At 39.8% G+C, this 23,948-nt stretch overlaps 1 protein-coding gene and 1 pseudogene across 14 annotated transcripts in view; one reads left to right on the top strand and one right to left on the bottom strand.

Moving 5' to 3' along the window:
• Positions 1 to 23,948, bottom strand: part of RPSA2 (ribosomal protein SA 2) — a 112,693-nt gene that overhangs the window by 60,791 nt on the left and 27,954 nt on the right. For 8 of the 14 annotated variants that reach the window (NR_170714.1, NR_170711.1, NR_170712.1 and 5 more), the window contains 2 exons: positions 2,459 to 2,572; positions 1,584 to 1,679 (listed from right to left, as the gene is read on the bottom strand). The exons of 2 other annotated variants lie outside the window; for them this stretch is intronic. The gene's annotated coding sequence lies outside the window, so the exon portion shown is untranslated. Of the gene's footprint in view, positions 1 to 1,583; positions 1,680 to 2,243; positions 2,354 to 2,458; positions 2,573 to 23,948 lie in introns of all 14 variants that reach the window. 4 more of the 14 variants (NR_170710.1, NM_001387845.1, NM_001355287.3 and 1 more) reach the window with 3 other exon arrangements.
• BNIP3P39 (BCL2 interacting protein 3 pseudogene 39) lies at positions 10,902 to 11,470 on the top strand (annotated as a pseudogene).

Below are 23,948 nucleotides of genomic sequence, written 5' to 3'. Positions count from 1 at the left end.
TTTGGAGAGGGAGTCTCGCTCTGTCACCCAGGCTGGAGTGCAGTGGCACGATCTCGGTTCACTGCAAGCTCTGCCTCCCAGGTTCACGCCATTCTCCTGCCTCAGCCTCCCGAGTAGCTGGGACTACAGGCGCCTGCCACCACGCCCGGCTAATTTTTTTGTATTTTTAGTAGAGACGGGGTTTCACCGAGTTAGCCAGGATGGTCTTGATCTCCTGACCTCGTGATCCACCCGCCTCGGCCTCCCACAGTGCTGGGATTACAGGCATGAGCCACCGCACCCAGCCTATCCAAGCCCCTTTTAACAAGACAACTAAAGGTGAACCCTTGTGCAAACCCAGCAGCCTTAAGACCAAGCTACAACCCTTCTTCACCACAAACCCAGAGGGCATTCTATCACATTGGGGGGGCCAAACAAAAATTTATTTTTGCTCTCTGAAACCAGTTTATAAAATCTTGAAGAGGTGTTTGCTCCTTTAAATTTACAGACCCCATTGCAAAACAATTGTTTCTTATTGTCAATGCTTCTATTTTAACATAGCACTGAAAGTATGTGGATGAAGAAATAGTCAAAAGAAAAATTTAAAGTCATTGAAATTGAAGACCAAAAGTAAAACATTGCTGTTGGTAGACCATGTAATCTTATATATAAAAAAAAAACATAAACAGTACATTAAAACTTGTTTAAACTAAAAATATAAAATTAACATACAAGTATAAGTTATGGTTCCATACACTTAAAACAAACGGTCTGATAAAAGAGAGAAAAAAAATCTTATTTACAATAGCAATGAAATAATTAATTTTAGAACAAATTTAAACAAGGAGCTTGTAAATCTTTTAAGTGAAAGATATATCAATGAAAAAAATTAGAGGACACAAATAAATTTAAAAATATTTTATTTCTACTGAAAGAATAAGTATTGTGAAACTGCCATATTATCCAAAGTGATCTCTAGATTCAATAAACTCCCTGTCAAAATTCCAGTGTTTTTTTTTCACAGTAATGAAAAACACAACCCTAAAACATAGATGAAACTACAATAAACTTTGAATAGCCAAAGCAATCTTAAGAAAAAAGAACAAAGCAGAAGGACATCATACTTTATAATTTCAAACTATATTTCAAAACTATGGTAATGAAAACAGGATGAAATGTGCAGAAAAAATGAACAAGAAAACCAGTGAAACAGAAACCGTCACTCTCGTGCATTTCAGACGTGATGTAAAAAGAGAACTTAAAAAATAGTTTAACATAGAGTATCTCAAAATTATGGAGATATCTCTCTGTCCACAAAAACAAGAAAAAAGTCAGATTGTGCACTCTTTTTGTATGTCATGAATAGTACTTTAGCTGTCACTGTAAATTTGAAGGAAGAACACTGAAGGGAAATTAGAATTCTTAGAAATTTTATAAACATAAGACATAAGATGCCCCTACGTGAGAGTATAATTTTTAAAAATTTCAGGCTTTCCAGAAACTATTTCCTTTTGAACACAGCTTCCCAAATCACTTTAAAGACTTGCTTTCTTCTTGATTTGGGCCTCTCATCCATGTTGTCTGTTGTATTCACTCTAACCTACCTGGGGGTTCATCCACCATCTCATGTCACTTCATATTCCAGGGCTCTTTTTCTCGCTCCAGATAGGTGATCAGGTCTGGCTTAGAGACAGTAATACCTGTTTTATTAAAAATAACTAACATGAATCTTGCTCATATTCTCCAATTACCAACTTAGTAATGTGTTCAGTAAAGAGGATATAATAGAATATTCTAATAAATTTATCCCAATATACTAATTTATAACAGAAATGTTTAACTATTTAGAAAATACTTTTATTGGTCAGGCGCAGTGGCTCACGCCTGTAATCTCAGCAATTTGGGAGGCTGGGATCACGAGGTCGGGAGTTTGAGACCAGCCTGCCCAAGATGGTGAAACCCTGTCTCTACTAAAAATACAAAAATTAGCTGGGCATGGTGGCGGGTGCCTGTAATCCCAGCTACTTAGTAGGCTGAGGCAGAATCGCTTGAACCTGGGAGGCGGAAGTTGCAGTGAGCCGAGATCATGCCACTGTACTCTAGCCTGGGTGACAGAGCAAGACTCCATCTCCAAAAAAAAAAAAAATTAATTTTGTAGGTTCTTAATTTCACTGCCTGGTACTACTGAATCAAAAACTGGTGATGATAATTAGATTTTAAGGTGTGAGTAACAATATTTTATGCAACTAAACTTCTGAAATTACCAATAATCTAAAGTGAAGGACACAGATCCGCTCAGGAATGTGGAAAGTTCAGGTCAAGATGAAATATCTTGAAGAAATTCTTTTCTAAACAGACAAATCCCCAGGATTTTCTTGAAAACAGAAATTTGAAAGCATAAATTACCAGAAAACATTCTACAAAAGAGAAATGAAACCTTTAGTTTATATAAGGAATTTTGTATTAAAGTTATCCTCACCCAGGAAGGCCAGGTTTTCATAACATTCCTCTATAAATTCTGCTGTGCAGTGTCCAGGCACTGCTACTCCTCCAGAGAGAATTCTATGGCCACATACCTAAACGTCAAGAGTCCCTGGAAAAGACACACAAACACACATATGTACAAAGTGGCCATTGGCAGAATTTTCCATTTGACTCAAGGCAAAATGAGAGAGTAAAAAAAACTGGTTCTGACTTATAAGAGTGACTGAAATTATCCAATAAAATAATTGTCAACACACAAACCTTTTCTAATGTATTCTCTAACTCTGAGAAAAGAGAGTGGCATAATATCCACAACATCAGTGTATATATGATACTTGTCTGGATGATAAAGTATAAAATTGAGGGCATAGACACTAACATGCACATTTTTGAGTACTATATTTACATAATACAGAATGAGTTATATATGTTTTTCAGATGAAAAAGACATAGTTCTTTACATTTTTCAGACAAAATAGACATGTTGACTTAGAAGGTACCACTCAAATTTTAATGTGTACAATAAACTGGACATCATGTTAATGCAGATTATTTTTTCAGGAGATCTGAAATAAAGTCTGAGTTACTGAATCTCTACCAAGTTTACCAGTAATGCCAATGTTTTGGCCCCAAAATATCATTTTGTCAAACATCCAGTAAGTGGAAGAGCCTGTGTCTTTTTCAGTTTTTCTGGCCTGTAAACAAAGATGAGAGCTTTCATTTACCAAAGAAAGATAAATACAAAGAAAACCTCAAAAACAGGGCAGCTGCCAGATTAAATGTGATGGTGTATGGACATCAGCTGCATAAAGATACTTAATGATGAAGAGGAAAAAAAACCTCTATAGTGCAAAAATCTGTAAGAGAGTTTATTAAGCAAGTGAGTTATTAACATCAAATGCACTCGAACAAGTTTTCATAGTGTGCTGATGCACCCAGAAGGACACAGCATCACTACTGAGATATGGCCCCCCACTAAAGTAAATTACAGTCTCAATTTAACCATAAGAAAACATCGGTTATATGGAAAGTCCAAGATAGAGATATTTTCCATGTTCTACAATTTTTAATAGTGACTTTAAGTAGTCTCTCTTTAGCACCCAAATAAGCAGGTATCTCCTGGTAATTTTTTTTTTTTTTTTTTTTTTTTGAGACTCAGTCTCGCTCTGTCACCCAGGTTGGAGTGCAATGGTGCGATCTTGGCTCACTGCAACCTCTGCCTTCAAGGTTCAAGTGATTTTCCTGCCTCAGCTTCCCTAGTAGCTGGGACTACTAGCACGTGCCACCATGCCTGGCTAATTTTTTGTATTTTTTGTAGGGATGGGGTTTCACCGTGGTAGCCAGGATGGTCTCAATCTCCTGTCTTCATGATCCATCCACCTCAGTCTCCCAAAGTTTTGGGATTACAGGCATAAGCCACATCACCCAGCCACTTTTCTCAGAACTTTTTGGGTAATAAATGCCATTCTGTTTAAATGAGCATTTTCTTAATGGTGTAATGCCATTAAGAACACAGAAGGAACCTCAACATTACATGTTCTCCATCTTTACTAAGAATCCCAGGTTTTCCCCATAGAAATCTAGAGTATCATTGCTGGATGCTGTGGCTCATGCCTATAATCCCAGCACTTTGGGAGGCTGAGGCGGGTGGATCATGTGGTCAGGAGTTTGAGACCAGCCTGACCAACATGGTAAAACCCCGTCTCTACTAAAAATACAAAAATTAGCTGAGTGTGATGATGCATGCTTGTAATCCCAGCTACTCAGGAAGCTGAGGCAGGAGAATTGCTTGAACCCGGGATGTGGAGGCTGCAGTGAGCCGAGATCATGCCACTTCACTCCAGCGGGGACGACAGAGTGAGGTTCCGTCTCAAAAAAAAAAAAAAAGAAAGAAAGAAGGATAGATAGATAGATAGATAGATAGATAGATAGACAGACAGATAGATAATCCACACCTATCCATGTTCAACAGCCAAAGACAACATTTTTAATATTGCAGATCACGAATTCATGGTGAGAATTCTGCACGGCATATAAGAAGTCGTGATGTAGAGAAGTCTGTGATATATAGAAACGAAATATTTTTCAGAGACCCTTGACTATCACAAGCATTTATAAAAGTAGTTAAGAAAAACTCATTAGGGAGAAAAAACACAAGTTTAGAAGTAAAGATTTGCACATACTAAGCACATGGCAATCCAGGAGGCACAGCGGACACAGCTCTTGATGTCAGAAATGTTTAGCTGAAAAAAAGTCATTTTTTCTCTTTCTCCTCCTCCTCTAGAATTATTTCTCAGATGACATTTTCTGGACTAATTATACCTGCATCTTGAGAATATGCCTTAAAAACTTTGAGCACCACATGTTCATCTCTTACCACCACACCTAAAGGCAGAAAGCCCAAGACAGAAAAACTCTACCCATTTCTGTCCTTTATAACAGAAATGATTTAGGAACTATAAGTTTCTCTGCAGCTGGGCAAGGTGGCTCATGCCTGTAATCCTGCACTTTGGGAGGCTGAGGTGGGTGGATCACTTGAGGTAGGGAGTTCGAGACCAGCCTGACCAACATGAAGAAACCCCATCTCTACTAAAAATAGAAAATTAGCAGGGCGTGGTGGCACATGCCTGTAATCCCAGCTACTCAGGAGGCTGGGGGAGGAGAATCGCTTGAACGCGGGAGGTGGAGGTTGCAGTGAGCCGAGATTGCACCATTGCACTCCAGCCTGGGCAACAAGAGTGAAACTCCATCTTAAAAAAAAAGAAAAAAAGTGTGTGTGTGTGTGTGTGTGTGTGTGTGTGTGTGTGTGTGTGCTTTTTATTTTTTTGGTCCTCAGGTTCTCTCCTCTGCTACAGACACTAGCAATTTCTGCTACAGTAATAGAAATATTGGCCACACTGTCCTGTCCTTAACAAACCCAAACAGAACAGGTTCCTGGACCCCTCTTTAGTGCAAAGGCGGCACTTAACTCTCATAAATGTATCTTGAACTCGTCATACTTGATTCTGGCAAATTAGAGTCACATGAGACACTTAATTAAAACAAATAGATGCTTTCACCCAGAACATTAAGCAAACTGTGAAAAGGGCACAAGAGAGTTCTGCAAATTGGCCATGTGATTCTAATTAGAAGTCTGGGCTTATAACCACTTACCTAAGCATTGCTACTCAAGCTTTAATGAGCTTATAAATCACTTCGTAAATTTGGCCCCACTCTATGTAATACGATTCTGTGGGTTTGGAAAGGGTCCATAAATGGGTGTTTTAAAGAAGTCCCCTGTCAGTGCTGATGTCGCTCTCTCTGGGCTCATTATTAGCACTGTTTAGAAAAATGAGGCACAGGCCGGACGCGGTGGCTCACGCCTGTAATCACAGCACTTTGGGAGGCCGAGACAGGTGGATCACGAGGTCAGGAGATCGAGACCATCCTGGCTAACACGGTGAAACCCCATCTCTACTAAAAATACAAAAATTAGCCGGGTGTGGTGGCGGTTGCCTGTAGTCCCAGCTACTCAGGAGGCTGAGGCAGGAGAATGCCGTGAACCCAGGAGGCGGAGCTTGCAGTGAGCCGAAATGGCGCCACCGCACTCCAGCCTGGGCGACAGAGCAAGACTCGTCTCCAAAAAGAAAAAAAAGAAAAAGAAAAATGAGGCACAGGACAGAGTCCCTTATATTCAGCAGTCTTGTCACAACACAAATACTTTTGATACAAATGAAGACAACCATTCTTTATCTTAAAGTATCATATTATTTCCTGGCTCTTTAAAGTTTACAGAGAAAACAGAAAGCAGCAATTTCTGAGTAAGTCTGCATTTAGAAAACAACATGTACACATGTACTAATGCAATGTTTATTAAGCAGGTACTGTGTTCTCAATAAGACGTTACAGAGCACTGTGATGACCCATTATTTAATTCTGATAAAACCCTGTGAGTTTATACTGTGTTCAATAATTCCAAGGATTTAGAATAAGAACCCAGCATTTTTATTTCTTCTTCTGTTTATCTGTCACTGATTTTTTTTTTTTTTTTTTTTTTTTTTTTTTTGAGACGGAGTCTCGCTCTGTTGCCCAGGCTGGAGTGCAGTGGCGCGATCTCGGCTCACTGCAAGCTCCGCCTCCCGGGTTCACGCCATTCTCCTGCCTCAGCCTCCCGAGTAGCTGGGACTACAGGCGCCCGCCACCACGCCCGGCTAATTTTTTTGTATTTTTAGTAGAGACGGGGTTTCACCGTGTTAGCCAGGATGGTCTCGATCTCCTGACCTCGTGATCCGCCCGCCTCGGCCTCCCAAAGTGCTGGGATTACAGGCGTGAGCCACCGCGCCCGGCTGTCACTGATTTTTTTTAAAAAATGTATAGAATATAAATATAGACAGATGAGAGGGATACAGATAGAGTTTCATATAATTTAGATGAATTTTTGTTGTGTTTATATTTACTATTTTGTGATTTGTGAATCAACAACTATATCTGCAGGGAGAGAAAACAAGTTGCTAAATGTAATGTCTCTGCAAACAATGGTTTTAAAAAAAATTTTTTTAATTAAGACCCTATAAATCATATTTTATATTTTCCATTTATCTGCTTTTGGGTTTCAGAAAATCATGAGCACCAACCCTAAAAAAGCAACAGGATGCATCACCCAAAACTCTGATCTCTTCTAGTTAGTTCTGTGAGACAAGACTCCAGAGTATGGCCACACCTAAATAAGGTCTTCAAAAAGGGTGAATCTGATCAGGGTTGGGACAGGGTGTAGAGCTAATGTAAAATTCTGTTTTTTGTGCCACTGGGGAGTATTTTCAGTTCTGTTTCATTTTTTAAGTGTACCAAAAAAAAAAAAAATTAAATCTCAGAGTTTGTATAATTTTTAATCTTTTTAAACCCCACTCCCCTCTCAAGGTTATATCACATACTAATAAGCAATTTAACAAATCTCTTAAGGTTTTCTAAAATAGTTTTTTAGAAGATAAATAAGTGTTCTTAGCAAGCTAAAAAATGCAAATAATAACTCTTGTTTATAAATATATGTTCAGGTGTAGACATCAGAAGTCTTAACAATATAAAGAAAATGGTGCAAATATATCCCATATTTTTGCACATGTCTATTTATTGTACCCACCATATGATGCATAATTAAATCATTTATCCAGTTGATAGTCAAGACTAAAAGTTCTTGCATGGTAGGGACCATGACTGCTTCATCTATTTTTCTAATGACTATATGAAATGGAATCAATTTATCTGTTTGAGTCTCCAGACCTCCTCCTTGTTTTTCACTCAAGTACCAGGGAACCAGAGAAACTCTCATCTGGGTACCAACCAAAGACATCTCTTGTATGATGGGAGGAACACACACCAGATGATTCATTTCTTTTACAGTAAGACAGAAGCAAAATTAACCACTCTTGTCAGCCTGACACAATTGTTCTGGAGATTCTCAAATGTCTCAGATGCCTGGGTGATTGTGAGAGCATTTCCAGTGACCCTGGGCTGATGGACCAATAATAAGCCAGCAGGAGAGACTCAGGCTGATTCTAAAAAGAAAATGAAACTATCCTGGTGGAGCTCCAGAACCTGGATCTCCTGTCCTGATTAGCTAGCTTTTGGACAATAACACTCTAGTATCACATTTTCCAGGTAGCTATAGTTGTGCTCAGGGCTCTGGCTACTTTGTGGCCTTGATCTCTCACTCCTAAGATGCTTGTTTACACTTAGAGATTCTGCCATCAGATTCTATTTAAACCTGTAGCCTCTCACAGAAAGGTAGCAATGTGAAAAGGTCAAAGAGTCACACTCTCAAAGGAGGGATCTGAAGTGTCTATGTGGACATCTCACAATGCAGAAAATGCCTCCTGTTGGTTTTCTGTACATTCTCAATCTAAAGTCTGGCCCTGTCTTGTAAATTCCAGGCAGAGACCAGACCTTATGTGCAGATTCTAGATAAAATCAACATCACTTTGCATTTTTGGCTGTTACAGCGAGTACAATCAAAGGAGAAATCTACTCACAGAGACTGCTCTAGAAAATTCTAAATAATATTTTACCTAAAAAAAAGCTGACACAACATGAATATAAGTACACAGTTTATTGGGGCCAAGCTTAAGCATTGTAACTTGAGAAGAAATATTCAAGATGCCTGGAATCTATACTGATTAGCAGCAATTACAAGTGGATTTGTGAAGGGAAAAAAAGAAGAGAGATAGAGAGTGGGGTGATACAAACTAGTTTGTGAGAAATTCTTATTTGTTTAAATAAATAACTTATTATTGGTTTAACTTATACCTACTTTTGGCAATAGTGAACAGCTTCAAGAGATCAATATATAGTTGAAAGTAGGGAGAAAGACATAATTGTGCTCTTATTTTAATGTCTGAGTTTTATAAGTAAAAAGACTGGCAGACAGCCACAGTGGCTCACGCCTGTAATCCCAACATTTTGGGAGGCCGACGCAAGTGGATCACGAAGTCAAGAGATCGAGACCATACTGGCCAACATGGTGAAGCCCATGTCTGCTGAAAAAAGTAATACAAAATTAGCCAGGTGTGATGGCACATGCCTGTAATCCAAGCTACTCGGGAGGCTGAGGCAGGAGAATAGCTTGACCTGGGAGGAAGAGGTTGCAGTGAGCCGAGATCACGCCACTGCACTCCAGCCTGGTGACAGAGCAAGACTCCATCCCCCCCAACCCTCCCCTAAAAAAAAAAAGACTTGCATTTCTCAAATGAAACTTTTGTTTTGTTTTGTTTTTTAATTTCTAGACCTAGATTTAGAATTTGGAGCTGCAGATTTAGGTCCTGGATGGGTGGAGTAGCAGCAGGTGTTACCTGCAATTGTGAGCATTTTAGCAAGAGGAGAAAAAGAGAAGTGGAGATTCTCATGTCTCCATGTCTACTCAATGCACACTTGTTACACTGATTGGGTTTCTGGGCTCCATGGTCTCTGAATCAGTTTCAGGTCTGAAGATACAAGAGTCATTGAAAGAAGTAAAATGGTTAATATCTGCCCTATTAAGTTTGTAGAAATCTAGGCCAGGTGAGGTGCCTCACACCTGTAATCCCAGCACTTTGGGGGCTAAGGTGGGTGGATCACCTGAGGTCAGGAGTTCAAGACCAGCCTGACCAATATGGAAAAACCCTGTCTCTACTGAAAATACAAAATTAGCCAGGCTTGGTGGTGCATGCCTGTAATCCCAGCTACTCGGGACACTGAGGCAGGAGAATCACTTAAACCCAGGAGGTGGAGGCTGCAGTGAGCTGAGATTGTGCCACTGTACTCCAGCCTGGGCAACAAGAGTGAAATTCCATCTAAGAAAAAAAAAAAAAGTTTGTAGAAATCTGCTCTAGCCCCTCTAGAAGTGACTGTGGAGGACTATAGATACCAAATAGGCAGAGACACAATTCTGCCTGCATATTTAGGTGACAGTATGCACTTTACAGCATAACTGTGAGTTGGCTAGAAGCCTGAGAGGGAAAGTCCCCTCTAGAGTAAAGCTTGGTTGGCACCTTATTTGTTTATATTATGTCCGGTAATTCTAGGAAATATAATTTTAAAAAAATTCTCTTCAGCCCCAGAGAAACCACAATAATAGAAAAGAAAGAGGTTGGGCATGCTGGCTTACACCAGTAATCCCAGCTTTGGGAGGCCAAGGCGGGTCGATCATGAAATCAGGAGATAGAGACCATCCTGGCTAACACGGTGAAACCCCATCTCTACTAAAATAAAAAAAAATAAAATAAAATAAAAAAGACGGGCATAGTGGCATGTGCCTGTAATCCCAGCTACTTGGGAGGCTGAGGCAGGAGAATCACTTGAACCTGACAGGCAGAGGTTGCAAAGAGCTGAGATCACACCACTGCACTCCAGCCTGGGAAATACAGCGAGACTCTGTCTCAAAAAAAAAAAAAAAAAAAGAAAAAGAAAACTCTTTCATTACACAATTAAATCTGAATGTCAAATGTATTACAGTCAGTCTGCTTAAGAGATCGAAAAGACATAAAGATGGTTACCATAAATAGTTCACAAGTAGAAGAATTCACAGCACCATGTCATACATAGTTCATCCTAAATTCACCTGGACATTGGGGAGGTCATCCATATATGCTAATTGGTTATATTCAATGACAAAATAACCTTTTCACATCTTCCTGACAAGATAGTTCTGCAACTTGAAGCCAGCTGCCTGCTGAAGGCAGACTTTCACTCTTCTACAAAAGTGGTTGAATAGGGTGCTATCTTTTTGGCTACTTGCATTTTAAAGCAGTACCTCTCTCCTCCCTGAGGACGGGGTTACAGTACTCCGGCTTCCCCTCTTCTGGTGGCCAGTGTCCTCTTTTGTTTCCTACCATCTGCCACTGCGGTATGGACCACAGCACAGGGCTCACAGCTGGCAGCTCACATCATAGGTGAACGCCAATTGCCATAGCAGCACTTTAGTGTCACATCAAAGAGTGAAGCCTGAGCTGCAGGAAGAGAGCCTCCCTGGGTAGAACTGCACCTTCACAATAACGGAAATGAGAGCATTATTTAAGCCACAGTTTCTATTTATAATGGTGACATGGAAAATATACTGCTAGATTTCCAGCATGCATCCAGATAGAGATAGCTCCAAGAGTTCTCACTGTGACAGCCACGTCTTTCACAGACATTATGGGATACTAATAGGGCTTCTAAAACAGATACACAAAGCATTCTACAGAAAAACAGCTCTCACTCTGAGAAAGATTATATTGAGAGAAAAAAAAGAAGTTAAAAGCATCTTAAGAAAAAACTGAAATTAGATATAAGATTGATCAAGTCAGCCAGAAAATATTCCTGCAAAAACAATTTCTCTCTAAATACCCAAAGTGCATAGCTACTCTCAGCATGAGAAACATGAGTATTATGAAGAAAAGAGGTATATTATCAGCAGAATCATAAAATATTTTTTCTATCTCTGCTGCTCTCTAATTTTCTAGCCTTTGAATGCAGAATCTATATTCAAATATATCTGACAACTTCCACCAGCACTTTGATAAAAAATTAAAATCTGACTGTGTTAATATAGTGGAATATACATGAACCTGCAAGGTAGCTAACTGGAGAGCTACTACAGTTTTTGGGTGGCCACATCATCTGTCTTTATTTGTCCTACAATAGCAGCATTCCAATTTGTGAAATGAAAGACATTGAAATTATGCTTACTTATAATTATCTCTATTGGTTAAATTAATAAGCATAGCAGACTAATATCTACTGTAACAATGTGGTAGTAAAATTTCTTTGGATATTAGATATAAATATGTAAGTAGGAATAATTTTAACATACTAGTCATAATGTATGTAGGATTTTTTAAAAAATTTCTGTAACTGTATTTCAATTGAAAAACTTTACATTTCAAAAGTATGAATCACAATAATAAAAGAATTAAGGAATTCATTCAAAGTAGACATTGTGGCTTTATATTCATACTATTGTAGAAAATACTATTAAATGTATATGAATGCAGGTTGTCTAACAACACCACACATAACTATGCTAATTGTACTGAAGTAATAAATAGAAACCAAGGTATGACAATATACTCCACTGTTCAGTTTATAAACTGTACTATTTTTGCTTTTGTAGTGTAAGTACTTCAGCCTGTAAATAATCATGTTGGATAAACAGGTTTCTGTCAATCAAATTACCAATATCTTTTAGTCCTTATAATTCTGTTTTGCTAAATTTAATCCTATTTTTATGCTAAACTTTTGTGTGCTCTTGGAATGAGTTTTACTGTGAACAAATCTGTGTCAACTTTAAAAGACTAAAAATAATAAGAATAACCTTTTGCCAAAGCAGAAACAAAGCAATTAATCTCAGGTCCCAGATAAAGACAATCGTGAGTAAAAAAAAAATAAATACATAACAAAGATTTATTTAGCTGTTAATGATTTACATATATTTCAAAAAAAGGAGATAAAAATCTACACATAATCTAAGTGTTTTAAGAAAAGAGATTTTAGTAAGATATTTTCTCTTATTTTTATGTGGACTAATTAAGCCTCTTATTTCTAATTTATATTTTCTTTTACAACAGCTAGGTCTCTAAACATGTTCTTGAACTCATGGACATCTACATTTTGCACATTGTGCACACAGGAAAGAATGTTTACGGAAGAAAAAGCAGAAAAGAGAAAGGTGTTATATAAAATTCATGGGTTCATATGAATAAAGCAAGTTCTTAGAGACCTATGAAGAGATTTAGATTCTGACACAACAATAGTGGGAGACTACAACATCCCACAGGCACTAATAGACAGATAACTGAAGAAGAAAATTAACAAAACATTAGAACCTAAACTCAACACTTGACCAAATAGTCCTAATAGACATCTACAGAACTCTTCAGCTTGACAAAAATATAATTCAACAAAAAGAAAACAACTTGAAACCATACAATTACATAAAAATTAAACAACCGGCACTTGAATAACTTCTTGATAAATAATGAAATTAAGGCAAAAACCAAGAAGTTCTTTTAAACAAATAAGAACAAAAAAACAGGCCAGGGCTGGGCATGGTGGCTCATGCCTGTAATCCCAGCACTTTGGGAGGCCGAGGCAGGCAGATCATGAGGTCAGGAGTTTGAGACCAGCCTGGCCAAGATGGTGAAACCCCATCTCTACTAAAAATACAAAAATTAGCCCATCATGGTGGCACATGCCTATAATCCTAGCTACTTGGGAGGCTGAGGCCAGAGAGTCGCTTGAACCTGGAAGGCAGTGGTTGCAGTGAGTTGAGATCGTGCCATTGCACTTGGCCTGGGCAGCAAGAGCGAAAATCCATCTCAAAATAAATAAATAAATAAATATAAATAAAAATAAAAAACCAACACATCAGAATATCTGCAATACTGCTAAAGTAGTGTTAAAAGGGAAATTTATAGCATTTAATGCTAAAAAAGTTTGAAAGATCTTCATTTGACAACCTGACATCATAAATAAAAGAATGAAAGAAGCAAGAGCAAATCAATCCCTAAGCTAGCAGCAGACAAGAAATAACCAAAATCAGTATCAAGAAATCCAGGAATTAAGTCTATGAAAAAAAAAATAAGATAAATAAACCACTAGCTAGATTAATGAAGGAAGAAGGGATGATCCAAATAAACACAATTAGAAATAACAGGAGACATTACTATTGACCCCACAAAAATATATTTAAGTCTACTATTAATACCTCTGTGCACACAAACAAGAAAATCTAAAAAAAATGAAAATATTATTGAACAAATACATCCTTCCAAGAATGAACAAAAAAGAAATCAAAGCCCTAAATAGATGAGTAAGAAGCTCAAAAATTGAATTAGTAATAAAGAGCCAACCAACCAAATAAAGCCAAGGACCAGACAGATTCACAGCTGTGTACAAAAAAGTGCTGGTATTATTTCTACTGAAACTATTTTAAGAAATTAAGAAAAAGTAACTTTTCTCCAACTTATTATATAAGAACAGCATTATTCTGATACTGAAACCTGGCTGAGATTAAAAAAAAAAAAATCAGGCCAATATCTTTCAACATTCATGCAAAAATCCTCAACAAAATACTGACAAACCAAATTTAGCAGCATATCAAAAAAGCTAACCCACGATGATCAAGTAGAATTTATTTTGGGAATGCAAGGTTGGTTCAACATACACAAATCAAATCAATAAATGTGATTCATCACATAAACAGAACTAAAGACAGAAACCACAAGATTACCTCAATAGATGCTGAAAAGGCTTTTGATAAAATATAACATCTTTTATGTTAAAAACTCAAAAACCTAGGCATTAAAAGTACATACTTTACAATAATAAGTTATTTATGACAAACTCTCAGCCAACATACTGAATGGACAAAACCTGGAAGCAGATGGGTGCAGTGGCTCATGCCTGTAATTCCAGCACTTTGGGAGGCCAAGGCAGGCGGATCACCCGAGGTCAGGAGTTTGAGATCAACCTGGCTGACATGGCAAAATCCCATCTCTACTAAAAATGCAAAAATTAGCCAGGGGTGCCTGTAATCCCAATTACTTTACAGGCTGTGGAAAGAGAATTGCATAAACCAGAAGGCAGAGTCTGCAGTGAGCCAAGATTGTGCCACTGCAATCCAGCCTGGGAGACAAAGGGAGACTCTATCTCAAAAATAAAGGAAAAAAACAAGCTTGAAGCATTCATCCTCAAAAATTGGCACAAGGCAAAGATGCCTTCTCTCAACACTTCTATTCAACATAAAATAGGAAGTCCTGGTCAGAGCAATCAGGCAAAAGACAACAAAAAAAGGAACTTAAACAGAGAGGAAGTCAAGCTATCCCTTTTTGCAGACAACATAACTCTATGTCTGGAAAACTGTATAGTCTTGGTGGAAAAACTCTTTAAACTTACAGACAACTTCAGTATCATTAAGGATACAAAATAAATGTACAAAAATTAGTATCATCCCTGTAAATCAGCAACATCCATGCCAAATACAAATTATAAACACAATACCATTAACAATTGCTGCAAAAAGAACAAAATATCTAGGAATACAGCTAATCAGGAAGGTGAAAGATCTCTATGATAAGAATTACAAAACAACGCTTAAAGAAGTAAGAAATGGCACAAACAAATGGAAAACAACTTTACACTCATAAGTAGAAAATATCAATATCCTAAAAATGGTCATACTAACCCCAATATTTACAGATTTAATGCTATTCTAATCAGATGACCAAAATATCTTTAACTAAAAAAAAAAAAAAAACTATTGTAAAATTCATATAAAACCAAAAGAGTCCGAATAGCCAAGGTAATCATAAGCAAAAACAACAAAGCTGAAGGCATTAGATTACCTAACTTCAAATTATACTACAGAGCTACAGTAAACAAAGCAACATGGAACTGGTACAGAAACAAACTCATAGACCAATGCAACAGAATAGGGAGCCCAGAAATAATGCCACATACCTACTACCATCTGATCTTCAACAAAGATGACAATAGAAATGTGGAAAGAATTCCCTATTTAATAAATGGTGGTGGAATAACTAGCTAGCAGTATGTAGAAGACTGAAACTTTATTACACCATATACAAAAATCAACTCAACATTAATTAAAGGCTGAAATATTTATTTGAAAATTATAAAAGACCCTGGAAGATAATTTAGGAAATACCATTCTAGACATAGAAACTGGCAGAGATTTCATGATGAAGATACCAAAAGCCATTGCAACAAAAGCAAAAATTGACAAATTGGACCTAATTAAACTAAAGAGCTTCTTCACAGCAAAGGAAACTATCAACACAGTAAACAGACAACCACAGAATAATAGGAAATATTTGCAAACTATGCTTCTGACAAAGGTGTAATATCCAGAATCTATAACAAACTTAAACAAGTTTACAAGAAAAAAAAGACCTCACTAACAAGTAGACAAAAAACATGAAAAAGATGCTTTTCAAAAGAAGACAAACGTGGCTAACAAGCATGTAATAAAATGCTCATCAATAATCATTAGAGAAATGCAAAGAAAAACCACAAGATGCCATCTCACATCAGTGAGAAGGGCTATTAAAAAGTTAAAAAATAGATGCTGTCAGGGTTGCAGAGAAAAGGGAATACTTATACACTGCTGTTAAAGAGTGTACATTAATTCAACCATTGTAAAAAGCAGTGTGGTAATTCCTCACAGAACTAAAAACAGAATTACCATTTCACCAAGCAACCTCATAATTGGGTATATACCCAAAGAAATACAAATTATTCTATCATAAAGATGCATGCACAAGCGTGTTCACTGCAGCACTAGTCACAATAACAAAGACATGGAATCAACTTGAATGCCTATCAATGGTAGACTGAATAAAGAAAATACGGTATGATCAGGCACAATGGCTCATGCCTGTAATCCCAGCACTTTGAGAGGCCAAGGCAGGTGGATTGCCTGAGCTCAGGAGTTTAAGACCACCCTGAGCAATATGGAAAAATCCCATCTCTAAAAAAATACGAAAAGAAAAATTAGCTAGGTTTAGTGGTGCATGCCTGTAGTCCCAGCTACTTGGAAGTCTGAGGTACAAGAGGATTGCTTGGCCTGGCGGGATGGCTCACACCTGTAACCCCAGCACTTTGGGAGGCCGAGGCAGGCAGATCACCACGTCAGGAATTCAAGACCATCCTGGCCAACATGGTGAAATCCTGTCCCTACTAAAAATACAAAAATTAGCTGGGCATGATGGTGGTGGGCACCTGTAATAGCAGCTATTCAGGAAGCTGAGACAGAAGAATCACCTGAGCTCCGGAGGAGGAAGTTGCACTGAACCAAAATCACGCCATTGCACTCCAGTCTGGGCAACAAAAGTGAGACTGTCTCAAAAGAAAAAAAAAAAGAAGATTGCTTGAGCCTGGAAGGTTGAGGCTGCAGTGAGCCAAGATCATGCCACTGCACTTCAGCCTAGGCAACAGACTGAGACCCTGTCTCCAAACAAAATACATAACATAATATAAAATACAAAGAAAATAAAATACAAATACAATACAATAAAATACAAATAAAACAAGAGCAAAACTCAGTCTCAAAAAAAAAAAAAGATATAACCCCAAAAAAGTGAAATAAATGTATTGAACCAAGAAAAAAGGTGGGAAAAGATGAAGCACAAAGGTGAGAAACAGCTGTGATCAATAAAATTCTCATCCTTTGTGTTCTCCAGGAAGACTTTAAGGGAAAAAAAAAAAAAAAAAAAAGAAAGCCACCTCTTTCCATTATGACTGAAATGGTGCTGTTTTCTTACCTATCACACAGCCAGAAAAACGCTTTGTACTTTTTCTTTTTACTCACTGAAAAACAAGCTGACTTTGTCTTCAGTAGTCAACATAAAATACTTCTTAATCAAGCTTAGGTTTATTCTCTTCCCACAGGATATGAACTTTGAGCTTACCCTCAGTCTGAGCCACCATACAACCCCATTTTATGTCCCTCCTAAGAACATACTGACGTCCGGGTAAAACATTCTCTAATCTAAAATCTGATTTTATTACACTCAATTTAAACATTCCCCTCCAACCTCCTTTCTAATCTTGTTTGCTTTTCTCTGGAAGGCAAAGCCCTTTTCTGCCTAATCTTTGCAATCTTTAAAACTCTTGGCCTGGCGCGGTGGCTCACACCTGTAATTCCAGCACTTTGGGAGGCCGAGGCGGGCAGATCACGAGGTCAGGAGTCTGAGACTAGCCTGATCAACATGGTGAAAGCCCGTCTCTACTAAAAATACAAAAATTAGCCGGGCTTGGTGGTGCGCGCCTGTAATTCCAGCTACTCAGGAGGCTGCCTGGGTGACAGAGCTAGACTCTGTCACAAAAAAAAAAACAAAAACAAAAACAAAAAAACTTAGTTGCTACTTTCTCCTGTTGCAATACTCCTTCGAAATTCAATTTTTTATATACATCTGTTTTATTTTTAAAAGTCTAGAAACTGCCTCAAAACAATAACAACTCCATCTTCAGTAAGACCCTCCCAATCTCCTTTATATTAACCTTATCTGCATCTGCCTGTGGATCCCCAGCATTCCAAGGCTCTGTAGTTTCTCTCAGTATAGAGGCTTCTTCCATGTCTTGGATAATCAGGTTGGGAAATTTGCAGGGGAGGTTCCCCAAAAGGAACTGGGCCTTAATAACCTCCTTTTGCAGGCTCAATATTAGCCTCAGCTTGGAGTCACTGGGCTTAAGCTTTAATTTCCATGTCAGAGTTATTAACTTGGTTTGTGAAACTAAGTGTTAGAAAAATTCAGCAATATTACTCAAACACAGTGTTCACATAAGGGAAGAAACTTTTAAGGTGCTTACATTTTATATCTCAGTAAGAAAAGCAAAATCATTTATTCCTTTCAGACAATTATTTTATTATTTGTATGAAAAATCATGTAGTAAACAATCAGTCGGCAGGGCGCAGTGGCTCATGCCTGTAATCCCAGCATTTTGGAAGGCCAAGGTGGGTGGATCACCTGAGGCCAGGAGCTCGAGACCAGCCTGACAAACATGGTGAAACCCAAAAATTAGCCAGGTGTGGTGGCAGGCACCTATAATCTCAGCTACTCAGGAGACTGAGGCAGGATAATTGCTTGAACCCAGAAGGTGGAGGTTGCAGTGAGCCAAGATCATGCCACTGCACTCCAGTCTCAGAGATAGAGCAAGTCTCCCTTCATCTCAATAAGAAAAAAAAAAAAGAAAAGATTAAAATAATATAAAAATGTACACTCAAGGACAAATAGTTGATAAAGTGAATTAGGGAGGGGAAATTGGCATTTGGGAATATCAGACGAAACTGGAAATTTAGTATTTTGCTGTAAGCCAGAGTTAGGCTGGAGGAATATGGGATGAGGGGTGGACTTGAGGTCCTGCTTGGCACACATGTGAAAAATTCAGGGAAAAATCCGTCACCATTGGAGTGTGAAAATAATTAAGTGGCAGGCAATTAGACTGAGGTGGCTCTAGTCCCCGGATTTGTACTTCTAAAAAATAATCTAAACTCAAGAGCATTTTTTGGTAAATTACTACATTGCCGGAAACAAGCTTCAGGCTTAACCAACTATAAACTGCCAATTAAACTCTGATTACATAACCAAGATATTTCCACCCTGATGTGTAAAAATTAAGAAACTAGGGCTGGCGCAGTGACTCATGCCTGTAATCCCAGCACTTACGGGGCCGAGATGGGTGGATCACCTGAGGTCAGGAGTTCGAGAAGCCCCTTCCACAGACCATAAATTAAAACCATAGCTGGGTGCTCTACAATTTTTGAATCACCCTTTGATTAAATTATTTAATACTTTCATTGTGACACCCATACATTTTTAATAACCCTGAGTCAGGATTCTGCCCTGATGATTCTCCCGTGGTCCCTGCACAATCTGGGAGAGATGTGGCGCTACTGGTGCAGAGCTGCCCAGAGAGGGCTCCAGGACATGGCACAGCCAATGCACTGGGAAGACAGGACGCCCGGGGGCCCGGCTGTCAGCCTAGCTGCCATCTTATGGCTGCAGGGGACGGATGCCAACCTGGGCAAGGAGAACTCAGGGTGCAGATTGTGGAGCTGACTGCGGGGAGGCCTGAGTCCCACCACAGCTGCTTCCCACCAGTTCCAACCAGCCCTTGCCCCTCTCCAGATGTCGGAACTGGCAATCTCACCATTTCTAGGCTTTCAGCGGGTCCTGGCGTCTTTGCTGTGGATCTCCAGTACCTGCAGGTCACAGGGCCACACAGGCTGGGACTCTAAGTCAGAGGACACAGAGCAGTGAAGACGACACCTGGAGCTCCATCTGCAGCTAGAGACACAGTCCCCCCAACTACAACCTGGAAGTCGCTCTGTCTGCTCCAGTTGTGTGTGTGATTGGACAGTTTCCAGTCCAATGTCGCTGACTGGATATCGTTCAAGACCCCACCTTCTCAAGGCCCTGAGTGACAGAAGATGTGATCAGCCTAACACAAGAGAGACAGCCTAAGTTGCAGCCTTTTCAGGGAGGACTTCCTCCCTGAACTGAGCCAGGCCCACCCCAGAACATGGGAAAATTCTCTTTTTTCTTTCTTTTTCAATGTATTCAAAATGTGAACCAAAATATTTTATGTATATTAACAATACATAAAATTATTGTTCAAGAGAAAATCAGGCCGGGTCCAGCGGCTCACGTCTGTAATCCCACCACTTTGGGAAGCCTAGGCGGGTGGATCACGAGGTCAGAAGTGCCAAGCCAGCCTGACAAAGGTGGTGAAACACCGTCTGTACTAAAAATACAAAAAGTAGCCGGGCACAGTGGCGGGCGCCTGTAATCCCAGCTACTCAGGAGACTGAGACAGAGAATTGCTTCAACCCGGGAGGTAGAGGTTGCAGTGGGCCCAGATCATGCCACTGCACTCCAGCCTGGGCAACAGAGCAATACTTCATCTCAAAAAATAAATAAATATATACATACAAAAAAGAAGCTGGGGGGCAGGCGCAGTGGCTCATGCCTGTAATACCAGCACTTTCCAAGCCTGAGGCCAGCAGATCACCTGAGGTCAGGAGTTCTAGACCAGCCTGGACAACATAGTGAAACCCTATCTGTACTAAAAATACAAAAAATAGTTTGGCTTCCTGGTACATGCCTGTAGTCCCAGCTACTCAGGAGACTGAGACTGCAGTTAGCCGAGAGTGTGCCACTGCAGTCCAGCCTGGGTGACAGAGCGAGACTCTGTCTCCAAAAAAAAAAAAAAGTAACACAATATCATCTGTGATTTTGTTCCTTGATGACACTGTCTGTGCCACCCGAGAGCTTTATACAATATGTGAGAGAGTGGTAATTCTCTAGGACCTTGGCAAAAAGAGGAGACTAAGGATTGTGCTTGTTTTCCTAAGCCTAGCTAGGAGAGAGAGTAACTCTTTTATTGCCTGGTTCAAGGTGTGAGAATCATCATAGCAACTACAAGCTGGGGCAAGATATATGTCACAATTACATCAGTGAGTAGAGAGTAAGCAGAAGAGTCACATCACCTGGGGCTTGTCTAAAGATGTTACAATCTTTTTTGAAGGAAAGAACCAGACAGGAGAGTCATATCACATCACCTAGGTACCTGGTCAGGGATGCATTAAAATCTATTTCTATAAGATGGCTGCTGGTGGCAGGCAGACTGGATGCAGTGGCTCATGCCAGTTATCTCAGCCCTTTGGGAGACCAAGGCAAGTGGATCAACTGAGGTCAGGAGTTCGAGACCACACTGGCCAGCATGGTGAAGCCCCACCTCTACTAAAAATACAAAAATAAGCCCAGTGTGGTGATGCATGCCTGTAATCCCAGCTACTTGGGAGGCTAAGGCAGGAGAACCACTAGAACCCAAGAGGCGGAGGTTGCAGTAAGCCAAGATCACATCACTGCACTCCAACCTGGCTGTCAAAAAAAAAAAAAGAAAGAAAGAAAAAAAAGAAAAGATGAGCACAGGCCACAAGTCACATCTTCTGGGTGCTGGGCCCAGTGATATGTTACAAAGCTCTCAGTGAGCAACACCCTGAGAGGTGAGACACACACCTGGTGGCTGATCCCAGTGATATGTTACAATCTTTTCTTTGTGCATGAAGCATGTAGGCGAGGACAGTCATATTTCATAGGATATGGATCCAAAACATGTCACAAGGCCACCTGTGGGCAGGGCCCAGGGAGGAGCTTCCCATCCCGTAATGTCAGACCCAATAATATGTAACAATATGCAAAATATGCAAGGTCCAGTCAAAATACGAGTTACATCATCTAGGTGCTGGGTCCAGTGATACATCACAATTCCCTTATGGCAGGGTAGAGGCTGACGAAGAGTCACATCACTACCTAGGTGATGAATGAAAAGGTATTTCATAATACTCTTGTGGTCAGGGCTTACGTAGAAGACACATCATCTGGGTGGCAGACCCAGCTATATGTCACAATGCAAAATGTTTGTAGGGCCCAGACAAGAGAAAAGAGTCCCATCACATAGGTGCTGGGCCAAGTGATACATCACAATCCCTTTTTGGTCAGAGTCCAAGCAGTAGAGGAAGTCACATCACCTAAATGCTGCATCCAGCAACATGTCACAATGCCCTGAGAGGACAACCCAGGAAGAAAAGTCACATCACCTTGGTAAAATGCTCAGAAAGATGTTATAATGCTATCTTTTCATAGGGCTCAGGAAGAAAATGAGAGTCAGATACATAGGAGCTGGGCCCAGCTATATGGCACAATCACTACAGTAGGCAAGGCCTTGGCATGACAGGAAGGTCACATCACATAGGTGCTGGGCCCAGAGATATGTCACATTTCCTACTGTGGACAGGTACAGAAAGATAAGGAGAGACCTATCATTTAGGCGACTGGCCAAGAGATATGTCAAAATGACCACTTGGGCAGGAGTCAAGCAGGAATATCACAACCCTGTGGGCTGTGCCCAGTAATAAATCACTGTCGCTTCTGTTAGCATGACCCAGGCCCAAAGATATATTGCAATCTAACCTACGGACAAAACGAAGATAAAAGAGGAGAGTCACATAAAATAGTTGATGGGCAGAAAACTCATATCATCTATGGGCAGGGCGCAGCAATATGTCACAACGTATTATGTAGGCAGGTCCAAGAAAAAAAAGTAATATCGCTTTGGTACTTAGTTCATTAATATTTCACCATCTTTCCTGCAGGAAAAAGTAAGAAATAAAAGAAAAAAATCAACCATATGCTGTGAAAGGTCACGATTCTTCCTGTGAGCAGAGACCAGGTAACACAAGAGAGTCACATCACCTTTGGGATTGGTGCAAAGACATTCATTCATTCTTTTTTTTGTTTTGTTTTTGTTTTTTGAGATGGAATCTCACTCTATCACCCAGGCTGGAGTGCAGTGGCACGATTTTGGCTCACTGCAACCTCCACCTCCCGAATTCAACCAATTCTCCTGCCTCAGCCTCTTGAGTAGCTGGGACTACAGGCACCAGTCACCATGGCTGGCTGCTTTTCGTATTTTTCTTTTTTTAGTAGAGACAGGGTTTCACAATATTAAGCAGGCTGGTCTTGTACTCCTGACCTTGTGATCCACTTCCCTCAGCCTCCCAAAGTACTGGGATTACAGGCATGAGTCACCACACCCAGCCACAAAGACATTTCAAAATGCCGCCTATAGGCAAGGCCCAGGCATAAAAATTACATCCCCTGAGTGTCACACCCAGTAATATGTCACAATGGCCCAAGTGTGCAAATCACAGGCAGAAGAGTCACAAATTGTCAATGCAGGGCCCAGCGATGTCACAATGTCATCTGAAGGCAAAACCTAAAAGAAGAGAAGAGTCACATAAGCTAGGTGCTGGGTGTAGCAATATGCTACAATTTCTCTGTAAGCAGGGACCAGGCAGAAGATGAGACCCACATCACCTGGATGCTGGGCCCAGTAATATGTCAACCATCTTTCCTGTCTTTATTAAGACCCAGGCAGGAGAAACACATCATCTGGTTGCTGACCACAGCAATATGCCACAGCTTTCCATGTAGGCAGGGTGCAAGCAGAAGATGAGAGTCACATCTCCTAGGTGAGGAATGCAGAGACATGTCACAATGTCCCCTATAGGAAGGGCACAGGTAGGAGACTCTCATCCCTTAGGTGTTGAGTTCAGCAATATGTCACAATACCCAAATATGCGGAGCCTGAAAAAAAGAGGAGAGTCACATCACCTAGATGCTAGGCCAGTAATCTGTCACAATTTCTCTGTGAGCAGAGACCAGGCAGGAGAAGAGAGTAACATCAGTATGGTGATGGACATTGAGTTATGTCACAAGGTCCCCTGCACGCAGTCCCAGAAAAAAAAAGTTACATCACCTGGGTGTTTAACCCAGCAATATGTAACAATGTCTAATGTGATATATTGAGCCCCAATATGGCACAACATGTAAGGCACATTTGGGAGAGTCACATAACATGGGTGCAGGATTCACCCAAAATTGACAATACTTAAAATTTGTTGGGTCCCC

The sequence above is a fragment of the Homo sapiens genome, chromosome 19, assembly GCF_000001405.40.
Source record: "Homo sapiens chromosome 19, GRCh38.p14 Primary Assembly".
NCBI lineage: Eukaryota > Metazoa > Chordata > Mammalia > Primates > Hominidae > Homo > Homo sapiens.
This window is presented reverse-complemented; position numbering and strand designations above follow the sequence as displayed.